This window comes from Homo sapiens, chromosome 12 (assembly GCF_000001405.40).
Source record: "Homo sapiens chromosome 12, GRCh38.p14 Primary Assembly".
Taxonomy (NCBI): domain Eukaryota; kingdom Metazoa; phylum Chordata; class Mammalia; order Primates; family Hominidae; genus Homo; species Homo sapiens.
In genome coordinates this window covers 126,493,380-126,506,230 of record NC_000012.12, presented here as the reverse complement: position 1 = coordinate 126,506,230, position 12,851 = coordinate 126,493,380, and positions in this window count along the sequence as shown.

Genomic DNA, 12,851 nt, shown 5'->3' with positions numbered 1-12,851 from the left:
AACTGGAAGAAGAAAGAATCTGTGAACTTGATAATAGATCAACCAAGGTTATATAACCTGAATAACAAAAGAAAAAAGAATGAATAAAAATAACTAGAATCTAAAAGACATGCGAGATGCTATTGGACACCAGCATATGCACAATGGGTGTGCTGGAAACAGAGGAGTGATAAAGAAAAACAAATACGTACTTGAAGAAATAATGGTGGAAAATCTCCCCAATTTGCTGAAAAACATTAGTCTACCCACCAAAGGAGCTCAACAAACAAAAAATAAATACAAAGATATCTACAGCTAGCAACATCACGGCAAAAACACTAAAAGCTTAAGACAATAAGACAATCTTGAAGGTAAAATGAGAACAAGTTGTTGCATACAGGTAACCCCAATAACATAAGTGAATGATGTCTCACAAAAAGCAATGGAAGCTAGAAGGTAATGACATATTTTAAATGTAAAAACAAACGAACAAACACTGTTGACAAAAAAAACTTATATCCAACAGAACTATTTTTCAAAAATCAAACAAGGTAAAGGCATTACAAAACAACTGAAAAACTCAGATAATTTATTGCTGGCCACAGAAAGTAATCCAACTTCCCATGAACAAACTAACAGCACTGGTTAAGATGATTATGTCATTATAAAAGATAGCATGAAAGGATATTTATTCTCCTTTTGTCTCTTAACTAATTTAAAGGATAATTGTATACAAAATAAATTGTATAAAACACTGTGTGTATATCCATTCATCCATCATGTAATCTAGCTATTCATCTATCTAATCTCTTTTATCTATTGATCTATCTAACCATCTATTCATCTATCTTTTCACTTATCTCTCATCCATCCTCCATCTATTTAATCTATCTACTTATCTATTAATCTATCTACCATCCATACATCTATTGTTACATATAGTTAGGCCAATAATATATACAATATATGGAAAAGGAATACATTTGCAAATGTCAGCACAAAGGTGGTGGGTGACCAAACTCACACTTTCCATTTACAAACTTACTGCAAATCTGAAGTAGTCAAAGCAGTGTGATCTTGACACAAAAATAGACATATAGACCAAGAGGACAGAACTGAGATGTGAGAAATAAACACACGCATATATAGCCGATTGAGCTTTGAGCAGCAAATAGACAACCACAGTGATTTTTAAACTAAATTAATTGTCAACATTTAAGGCCAAGGTGCGAGGATCACCTGAGGTCAGGAGTTCGAGATCAGCCTGGCCAACGTGGTGAAACCCCATCTCTACTAAAAACACAAAAATTGGTCTGGTGTGGTGGTGCACGCCTGTAATCCCAGCTACTCAGGAGGCTGAGACAGGAGAATCGCTTGAACCCAGGAGGCGGAGGTTGCAGTGAGCCAAGGTCATGGCACTTCACTCCAGCCTGGGTGACAGAGCAAGACTCTGTCATTAATAAATTAATTAATTAAAAAATAAAATTTGTCTGGTTTCCCTAAAAATTTGGAAAATTCATAAACACCAGGCCACATTCCTGCATACAAAGACTTGGCTGGGGGTGAATGATGGTTCTATCCACTGAAATTGGGTCACCCTCACTCAGTTCACCACAGTCCCCAACTGACCTGCTACATTTGCATCTTCTCTGTGGTTCATTTTGGTGTTTTTGATGATGGCCCCTGGAAAAAATAATTGCACCAATGATTATTTAACTACACTTGTTATGAGTCCTTAAATAGGAATTCTGAGAGCAGTTTATTGTAACCGGAATCTCTTACCTAGTTTCAGGACTCCATTCTCGGGGAATTCCTCTAAGCGTTTTTGTCTGAGTTAACTGACAGAAAGAGACAGTTAACACTTACTCTTTCTTAGCATGCTTTAAAATTGAAATAATATTCAATAACAATTCACTTTTGCCTCATGATGTGTATGTTATGAGTAATATGTCAAAAGAATTGTGGAAAAAGGAGCTGTGCAAGTTGTCACTATTTTGGGAGTTAAAAAGCTGTTGAAAAGTATATCTATGGCTAACAAGGATGTAAATTCTGGTATCCTGACTTTAAGCAAGATACTGACACATAATATTCAGTTACTAAAATGCTGTAAGGCAAATGTTTCCAGGCCACATATATTCATCCACTTGGCATTCAGAAAATCATGTTGTGTGTTTGGAAGAATGGCATGTGTTTGAAAGAGCCAGAAATTATGTCTACCAGCCTGCACACTGGCTGGCCCTGGGAACCTTTTGTAATGCAACAAGGTGGACACATTTAAATGTCTTAAAAACAGAAAATACACACAGTTCTCAGTATATTAGGAGAAGTACTTTAAGGCCAGAAAAGTCCACATATGGAAGAGTATGTCTTTTTTTTTTTTTCACTTTTAGTAGATGAAATTAGGCCATCACCAAAATTACTTCAATTTCCTTATTGTAATCCCACCCAAGCAACTTCAACATACCTGGCTTTGTATTGTCTACTTTGCACGTATTACGTTATTTTCTTTTCCATATTATAGGTAACAAAAACAGCAAGCATCTACTGCATACTTACCACATGCCATGCTAAGCCATTAGTAGTCTACATAAAATACTTAATTTAACCCTAACAATGGCCTTATGCAGTGGTTATTATTACATTCCAGTTTTATGGATGGAGAAACAAAGGCTATAAGCAGTTAATATGTCCTGAATCAAAGAGCTAATAAATGCATAATAGTAAGTGTGGATCAAGGTATAAATCCGTCTCTCTGGTACCATAGTTGTTTTATCTGTAATGAAAACCCAGACTTTTCCCTAATGCACATTTCCATGCCATATACATGTGTGTTTGCATTTTACTCTTGCCTCACATTGGACGTGTCTGCAAATGGTCATCATGCTAGTAATATATATATATTACAAACTTGATATAAAATGATAAGCTTAGTAAAAAATAAAAAGGTTTGTTAAAATTGTTAAAATACACTGTCTATTTGCAACTATATAAACATATAGATACATAATAAGTATTGGTAATAATATAAAAGGCAAGATTCCTTTGAAAACAAGCCAGTACTGTCTTCTCTAAGTCTTTTAGCTTTCTGAAGTGGTTATTACCGTACCTCCTCATTTCTTATGACCTTGTTACTAGGATGAAATAAAGAGACAAATTCAGTTTACTAAGGTTGTAGAAGAGCCTTAGGTCCAATTTTTGTCTTCCCCTTGTGAGTGTACTGATAACTTGATTTAATTGCTCAGCCCCTGTGAGGAAGCTTCCAGCAGAATTTCTCACTCTCTGCAAGTCAGGCATTGCAAACAACATTGAGACTGATAGAACTGTACTTGCGTCTCTGCGTTTCCCTTCTTTCCTGAATCTTGGCCTTTCATGTTCTAATTACCTTAGTAACCCTGCATTCCACTTTTATTTTTTCAGCCTCCTGGGACTATCTAAAACCCTGTCTACTGCATGTTTTCTGTGAGGATTTCTGTTTGACTTCTCAACCTGTTATTCCATGCTGCTTATAACCAGCAAATTCTTGAAGGAAAAAAGGGAAAATGTCAGTTTCACCCTGATAAGTTTCTGATCCCTCTGGCATCCTGCTCCTCATATACTGGATGTCTCAGTAGCTCCCCAATGCCATCAGGTTTTTTAAAAAATGTTTCCAATTTTCTTAGTTTTTCCCAGTGGTAGATTTGCTCTGCACCAAACGAACCCATCAAACCCCAAAGTAGAATGTCTCTCATCTACTCTTCTTTTATTCCACCCTCTCTGAATTTTACATCCTTCTACACTTTTTGGCTTAGTTAGGAACTTGAATCCCTCTTATAGCCTCTCAAAAGTTATTTCTGGGGCAGAGAGCTCAATACGTCTCAGGCAGCACAACTAAAAAGGAAGACTTTTTTCTCCCATTCACCTGAATCCAGCCATGAAAAGAGCCTTAAATGGAACAAAGCGATAATCTCTGCCCTGGTCTTTCCCTAATCAATACTAAATTAGCATCAGTTTAGTGTTTGAGGCAGAGAAATACACATAACTTTATATTAGGTCGTAAATAATATTTTTAGTAATACCGTCAAGAGCCATCTAATTGGCATCCACTTTAGCCTTTAACTTAGAAAATCTTGGAGAATAGTGAAGGAAAAATCTACAGTAATTAGATTTCTCAGAGAACAATAAATACCCCCGGGACTAATGCCACTTTATTTACCAGGGATTTGCTTCTGTAACATGGCATAAGAGCAGCAAGAAACAAAATCAAATAACCTCATTTGCTTTTTACGTGGGAGGCAAGGGCCGTTTCGTTGAATGTCTGCACACGAGTCTACCTTTTAACAGAGATGATGATGTATGTGTTTCTCTAAAGAGAGAGTGCTTCCCTGTGAGAGTTGCTGCTGAAAAGACAGAGCCCTTGGTGTGTGCCAATTGCACCAGACACTGGCTTTTCCTGCTCCATGTCACTGTTTGCAAACCGGAGTTTCACATTTAAGTCTATTCAGAATGTTTCAGATGTATGGCTTGAATTGGGTGCTTATTTATCTGTGTCTCCTAAAACGATACAGCTAGTATATTCTCTTTTTTCTTTTTCTTTTTTTTTTTTCTTTTTTGAGACGGAGTCTGGCTCTTTCACCCAGGCTGGAGTGCAGTGGTGCGATCTCGGCTCACTGCAAGCTCCGCCTCCCGGGTTCACGCCATTCTCCTGCCTCAACCTCCCGAGTAGCTGGGACTACAGGCTCCCGCCACCACGCCTGGCTAATTTTTTTGTATTTTTTTTTAGTAGAGACGGGGTTTCACCGTGTCAGCCAGGATGGTCTCGATCTCCTGACCTCGTGATCCGCCCACCTTGGCCTCCCAAAGTGCTGGGATTACAGGAGTGAGCCACTGCGCCCGGCCTGATTCTATTTTTTTAAAAACTATTATAACAGGATTCTTGAACTGGGTCTGAACTGAGATTCAGTCTCAGAAAACATTGCTCTCCACTTTAGGGATTTCTAGAATGTAAAAGTCGAGGTAAAATTTGAGGTCCTGCCAGATGGCCCATGGTGGTTGTAAGCACAGGGTCTATAAACATCCCCAAACATGGCCATACCACAAACGCACGGGACTGCAGGAGATTGCAGGCTACCCCTCTATACCTCTTCAGGGATGCTGGGACATCTATGAAAAGAAAACCAGAACATATTTTCTTTCTTTCTCATTAAGTGCATTGTGTCTCCAAGCATTAAGATTTGGCTTTCTTTGTAGGTGTGGCACATTTGCTTACCAGCTAGAAAAGCCCAAAATATGCATGAGATGACATTCTGATTTGGCTCTCAGTTTGAATGTTGTTGATGTATAGAAATGCTACTCGTTTTCGGACCTGGATTTTGTGTCCTTTACTGAAGCTCTTTATCAGTTCTATGAGCTTTTTGAAAGAGTCTTCAGAATTTCTAGGTTTTATATCATCAGTGAAGAGACATAATCTGACTTCTTTTTCCCCTATCTGGATGGCTTTGTTTATTTCTTAGCATGGACTTCCAGTACCATGTTGAATTGGGGTGGTAAGAGTGGGCATCCTTGTCGTCTTGTTCCAGGTCTCAAGGGGAATGATTTCAGCTTTTGGTTTCCCAGTATGATGTTGGCTGTGCATTTGTCATCGCTTTCTCATAGTATTCTGAGGTATGTTCCTTTGATGCCTATCAACAGTGGACTGGATTTTAAAAATGTGATTCAAATACCCCGTAGAATACTACACAGTCATGAAAAAACAAAATCATGTCCATGGCAGCAACACGGAGGCAACTGGAGGCCATTATCCTAAGCAAATTAACACAGAAACAGACAACCAAATATTGCATGTTCTCTCTTATAAATGGGAGCTAAACATTGAGTACACATTGACATAAAGATGGGAACAATAGACCCTGTGGACTATTAGAAAGAGGTGAGAGGAAGGGGTTGAAGGTTGAAAAACTACCTATTGGGTACTGTGCTGACTACCTGGGTGACAGGATCATCCATACCCCAAACCTTAGCATATTCCCATGTAACAAGCCTGCACATGTACGCCCAAACCTAAAACAAAAGTTGAAATTTAAAAAGAAAGAAAGAAAATTCTGTGAAACATCACTGAAAATATATTTTTGACCCCTTCATTAATATTAGAAATATTTAATTCATATAAAACACAAATTGATTACTCAAAGAAACCAGCCTGCACATGTACCCCAAACCTAAAACAAAAGTTGAAATTTAAAAAGAAAGAAAATTCTGTGAAACATCACTGAAAATATATTTTTGACCCCTTCATTAATATTAGAAATATTTAATTCATATAAAACCAAAATTGATTATTTAAAGAAAAAGTATATTCACTTACATAACTTAAAAATCTTGGAATATCTGGCACCAGGCATGGGTGGATCCAGATACCCAATTAATATTTTCAGACTCTCTCTTGCATTATGTTTATTATTTTGTTTCGTTTATTTTGTTTTATCTTATTTTACTTTTCTGAATCAGGGTCTTACTCTGTCACCTAACGTGGAGTGCAGTGGTGTGATCCTGGCTCACCGTAGCCTCGACCTCCTGGGCTCAAGCTATCCTTACACCTTAGTCTCCTGAGTAGCTGAGACCACAGACATGTGCCACCATGCCTGGGTAATGTTTTGCAGTTTTTGGTTTTGGGGTTTTTTTTTTTTTTTTGTATTTTTTGTAGAGACAGGGTTTCATCATGTTGCCCAGGCTGATCTGGATCTCCTGGTCTCAAGCTATCTGCCTGCCTTGGCCTCCCAAAGTGTTGGGATTACAGATGTGCGCCACTGTGCCTGGCCTCTCTTGCATCATGGTTTAATTCCAACAATATTGATTGAACAGTCACTGTGCACATGATACATTTCTGAATATAGAAATAGGGTAGTGACCAAAGTAGATGCAATTGCTGTTGCTGCAGAGCTGACATGCTGGGGGGCTTGGGGTGTGTCTTACACGCTGGTCACATGTTCTCACTTCTCGAATGTCCCTTGAGGTGTTTTAAACTTTAGCAGGGCTGTTTCCAGTGGTTGGAACTCAGCTGTTTAGCTTTGATATCTCTCCAGTAAAATGTACAGTAAAACTAAACAAAACAAACAAGAAAAATCCTGTATTTTTCATGACACTCTGCAAATGATTTTAGACTTCAGTGACACAGAGTAATATTCAGTTATATTCTTATGCCCGAACCAACCAGGGGAACTGCAGAAATGAAATGTGCTATTGTCACCGGACGCGGTGACTCACACCTGTAATCCTAGCATTGTGGGAGGCCGAGGCGGGTGGATCACCTGAGGTTGGGAGTTCGAGACCAGCCTGACCAACATGGAGAAACCCCGTCTCTACTAAAAATACAAAATTAGCCAGGCATGGTGGCGCATGCCTGTATAATCCCAGCTACTCGGGAGGCTTAGGCAGGAGAATCACTTGAATCCGGGAGGGAGAGGTTGCGGTGAGTCATGATCGTGCTGTTGCACTCCAGTCTGGGCAACAAGACCAAAACTCCGTCTCAACAACAACAAAAAAAGGAAATGTGTTGATTGTCGTAGGCCTGGAACCCAGGTGAACTGGGACTTGGGTCAACCCTACTAAACACATAGACTGAGAGTGAGGAAGGGTCCCCAAAGGAGATTTGGGGTCTCAGTATCAGAAGAAGAGGATGTTTCCTAAAAAGGAAAATATAACCAGCACCTACATCTTCAATAATATTTTCTCGGGATATATGCTCCAAAGTGAAAATGTAGATTCAACAGATAAATTTGAAGTGTGTTGATACATTTTGTTAAGTGTCTTTCAAAAGACTGTCAATTTATTGTAATTCCAACCTTGCATAACTTCTTTACATAGCGAATAAATTTGTTAAAACAATACAAACTGTGATTGAAATGTAAAATGCCTTTATATATTCTGAGATAATTTTCCAATGATTAAAGGCTTTCCAATATGTGTATTAATCTGGAACTTTCCATTAGTTCGAGTTTCAATGATTTCTAAAATGATACCTTATCATGGTTGTTACAATGCAGAAAAAAAGCAAGACAAACATATCTTCTTTGGAGAAAATGTAACTTTTTCATGCTGCCTTCTCAGATAGATAATTTTTCAATTACCTTACTTTGGAATTTTGAAAGTAGAATAATTTCTTCCTAAAAATGACCACAGTTCTCCTTTTCACTGGCAGAAGATCAGCATACTTTTTTTTTAAAGTGCTTTCCCAAGAACATTAAGTCAAGTAGAAGGAAACAAAATAGAAAGCGGAAAATTCTAAACTTATAGATTTAATATAAAGTTTCCCCAAATAGAAATGACATAAGTGTTCTGTTACCAGATGATTAAACTCTCCAGATCTGCCTGCATTTTCTCACTGCCAGAGCTACTGTGCTTTGAAATATCCCTGTTTATTGAGAGTGTGGTTGGTTGTGGTGTACTGAAGGCAGCTCTTTCACTTTTGTGCCCATTTTGAATGAATAAGAAGAGAGCAGTATCTTCCAAGCCTTCACCCCGAGAATCCACTTTGCAGTCAGAAAGTCAGAAATGTCTGCTTCACTTGAGAAGCCTCTTGCTTCACCTTCTTTCAATATAATAAGAAAAATACCCGACGTCAACATAGCTCTGCTTGCCCAGTGTAGTCTGCACTGGGCTCATCTGCTGTTTGCCCCATGTTTCTTCTTGACCTTGACTCTGTGCAATTACCCATTGGCAGGTGGACATCACCTGGTTACTACGGTCTTACTACAGCAAGAACAAGTGATGGAGACACTGCATGGCCTCTTAGAGAATTGATTGCTTCCTTTCTTTCTTAGAGAAAGAATCATACAGAAGTCTTGTCTGGTGGCCACAGAGAAACTAGTCCAGCAGTTGAGGGTCCAGCCCACACTCTCTCCAGACCTAGGAGTAACTACGAAGTGTTACACAATTCTTCTTATGAATTGAGGCAGTAGATACTGATTGATAAGTAATGTCTGTATTGTACAATATTGATGTAAGTATTGTAAAAGGATTAATGAACACTGAAATGCACAAAGTAGGAAAAAAGATGCTGTCCGTCTCCACTGCTAGTCTACTCCCCTGAGTTAGTTTGCTTGTAATCTATCCTTCTAGGCTAAATGCAAATCCAAGATGCTAAACACTTGGATAGTCCGTCTCAGCATTTCCTTAAGGAATTCAAGCACATGGCCTCTGCCGATAGATGCGCTCACATCCACTGTTGGTTTAGATTTCTTCTACATATTTTCTGTTGTGTTGTTTTTCTTTTTTGAGACAGTCTTGGTCTGTCACCCAGGCTGGAGTGCAGTGGCACCATCTTGGCTCACTGCAGCCTCCACCTCCCGGGTTCCAGCTATTCTCCTGCCTCAGTCTCCCGGGTAGCTGGGATGACAGGCATGTGCCACCAAGCCTGGCTAATTTTTGTATTTTTAGTAGAGATGGTGTTTCACCATGTAGGCCAGGCTGATTTTGAACTCCTGACCTCAGGTGATCCACCTGCCTCGGTCTCCCAAAGTGCTGGGATTACAGGTGTGAGCCACTAGGCCCGGCCACTTCTAGATATTTTTCTCTTCATGACAGAGGTCTTTGATAATACCCTAGAGAAAATGACAGCCCCCAGTATAGTGTCATCGCTGTTTTCACCCTGCTTCATTTCCCTCCAGACCATCCATCAATACATCTGTATTGGCATTATTTATTTCACTGTCTTTCTTTCTTCATTTGACTATAAGCTCCACGAGTACAGCAACTTCATGCCTTTTGACCAATGGTATAACCCATGCTCAGAAAACCGCCAGCCACAAAGTGGGCCTTCAATGCAAATTTGTTGAAGGAATGGGTGATGTAATGAAGAAATGGATGCACATACATAATATAGGTATGTCCACATTCTTATTTTATGCCTGTGCCTGTCATTGTTAATCACTCACAGCCCTTTTTTCCCACTCAATCTGCATCTCAGAGATTGCCTTTACATTATTGACGGTAAACAGAGCTTTATTCAGTGTGAAAACTGTTCTCTATCTCTCCTCTATGAGATAAAGTCTATTATCTTGAAAACTACAGAATTTTGGAATCAGATGATCTTATTCTAGTAAAATTAATAATTCCTTTTCCTAAAAGTTACTTCACATTTATTCTTTAGAAGTAATGAAACTTACTCAGGGACAGGGACTGGATTGTTTTAAAGAGGACAGATGCTCTCCCTGCATTTGAATCCTGGCCAACATGCTAGCTGTTGGATTTGGGGAAAGATATTTTCCACTCTGTGTTTCAGGTGTCTCATCGGCAAAATTAAAAAATATACATACCTACCTTACAGAGTTATTACTATGTAAAAATAAAATATGTAAAATACTTCAAACATGGCCCAGAAAACATAATTTTAATTTCTAAATAAATGTATGATAAAATGTATTTCACTATAAATGTTTACTGCATAAAATATAACACTGTTGTTGTTTAATTATCATTTTCATGATGATCACTAAAAAGCTGTGCCCTTTCTGAATCAACACCAAAAATAAATGGCTTTCCTCTGATTTCAGTGTGAACTAGGTATTTCAAGGTATGGGCTAGAGGAATAGATGTTTTTTTTTTAATCACAGCCCATATTTGTATGGGGTGTGTAAAAAAATACACAGTAAAAATATAACTCCCAGTGTCTATGCACACACACACATACGCAGATAATGGAAACACAATTTTACAAATCTATGCTTTTTTGTTAAGTGCAATGAACTTAAATACTTTCTTCTCTTTTCTGTTCTGTTGCATTTTGCATTGTCCTGTCACAGTCTGCTCTACCTCATCTAAAAATGTTGCTTCGACTCATTTATTTGATGCTAGTAATCACTGTAACATAAATGAGAGTCATGAAGGAGTTATGTCCAACAAATAGGTGCAAAAACTCAGACTTTCATTTAAAAAATACACATAGAATATAATAATATTTTTTAATGAGCTGCCAAGCTATGAAAAGACATAGAGAAACCTTAATACAGCTTGCTAAGGGAAAGAAGCCAATCTGAAAAGGCCACATACTAAAACATTTCCACTATATGGCGTAATGGAAAACAAGCTATAGAGACAATAAAAGGATCTGAGATTGCCAAGGGCAGGGGATGGGGGAATGGATGGTTGGAGCACGGGGCATTTTTAGGGCAATGAAAGCATTTTTCTAGGATACTATAATGGTGGATATGGGACAGTATGCATCTGTCGAATTCTATCCTTCTAGAGTAAATGCAAATCCAAGACTCTAAACACTTGGATAGTCCGTGTCAGCTTTTCCTTAAGGAATTCAAGCACATGGCTTCTGCCGATAGATATGCTCACACCCTCTGTTGGTTTAGGTTTCTTCTAGATATTTTGTTTTTGTTTGGTTTTTGTTTTTTGAGACAGTCTTGCTCTGTTGCCCAGGCTGGAGGGCAGTGGCACAATCATGCCACTGCACTCCGGGTTAGGTGACAGAGTAAGACCCTGACTCAAATAAAATAAACAATAAAATAAAATAAAATAATAAACATAATGCAAGAGAGAGTCTGAATATATTAACTGGGTATCTGGAGTTAGCATATCTATGCATATATATATCTGAGTGGTATAAATGCACAATACAGACAGTGATCCCTAACATAAACTAGAAAATTTAGTTGGTAATAATGTATCACTATTGGCTCATCAATTGTAATAAATGTGCCATTCTAATGCAAAATGTTAGTAAGAGAAGGAACTGTATGTGGGGTTGGGGTTGGAAGAGGATCCATGAGAATTCTATACTTTATGCGCAATTTTTCTGTAAACCTAAAACTGTTTTTTAAAAAATAGTGCTTATTAAAAAAATGTAGACTCAAATGGAGAGTAAATGTAGCATTTCCTGTGACATTTATGAAAACACAAACACTGTGTGCAGGAGAGGAAAAGCCCATCTTTCCTATTGGTGGCATTTTAATATGCTTCTTTCCCAGCCCTCACTGTGCCAAGAGGCTGACTGTTTTATCTTGACCAGGATGCCATGCTAGGCATACTTTCATGTGACATTTTTATGCACTGCACAGAGAGATTAAAAAATCATTAATGGCTCTAAACTCATTCTCCAATTTTCGGTGTGTCTGTGTTTCTTTCTGGTCCTTTATCTGCTCGTGCCTCGATGCCCTGTTTGGGACAAAATGAAGAACATGAGGTGAATTAGTCTAAGATAGACTCACATTCATCCTCTCAGCTCCTCCTAACTTGCTGACTGAGAAACCAATTTAGATTGCCAGGGTTTCCACTGCCTCTTCCAGCAGCATGGGTCGGTTAGACAGATTGGTAAACAAGAGTGAGCAGCAAAGTGCCATGTGTTTCTGTGAGGAGCAAGAGTCCGGGTAGAACAGGGGTTAAAGAGGGCAGAGAGAGCAGACAGTGCAAAGCAGGCAGGGTGATAGGAAAATGCCCTGAAGGAGAAAGCTGTGCTGAGTCTTTGGTAGAAAACAACAAAAACTGATTTGGGTCATCAAAATGTGGGGACATACTTAACGAAGGATGTGAGGTTTGTCACTGGTATCAGAATTAAATAGAAAAAGTAAGCCTTGGAAAAAACAGAAACCGAAACAACAGTTCCAGGGATATGACACACAGGAAAAACTTAGTCAATACCCACCCCTCCTCCACCCTGTTTTTCTGGAAACTCAAGATTCATGTTCCTGATTGGCCCAGGTTGGTTCAGACTCTCTCCCCTACGCCCTCCAGCTCTACCTTGACTATGGGAAGGTTGAGAGTCACGATGGACAGCCACTCCCTGCTAATTCTATCACATAGGAGTAGGAATGTTCCCCCAGAGCAATCAAGAGGCCAACAGCAGAAGATGGGGGTAGGGAGAGATGCTGAATCATACATCAGTAGAATCTCCT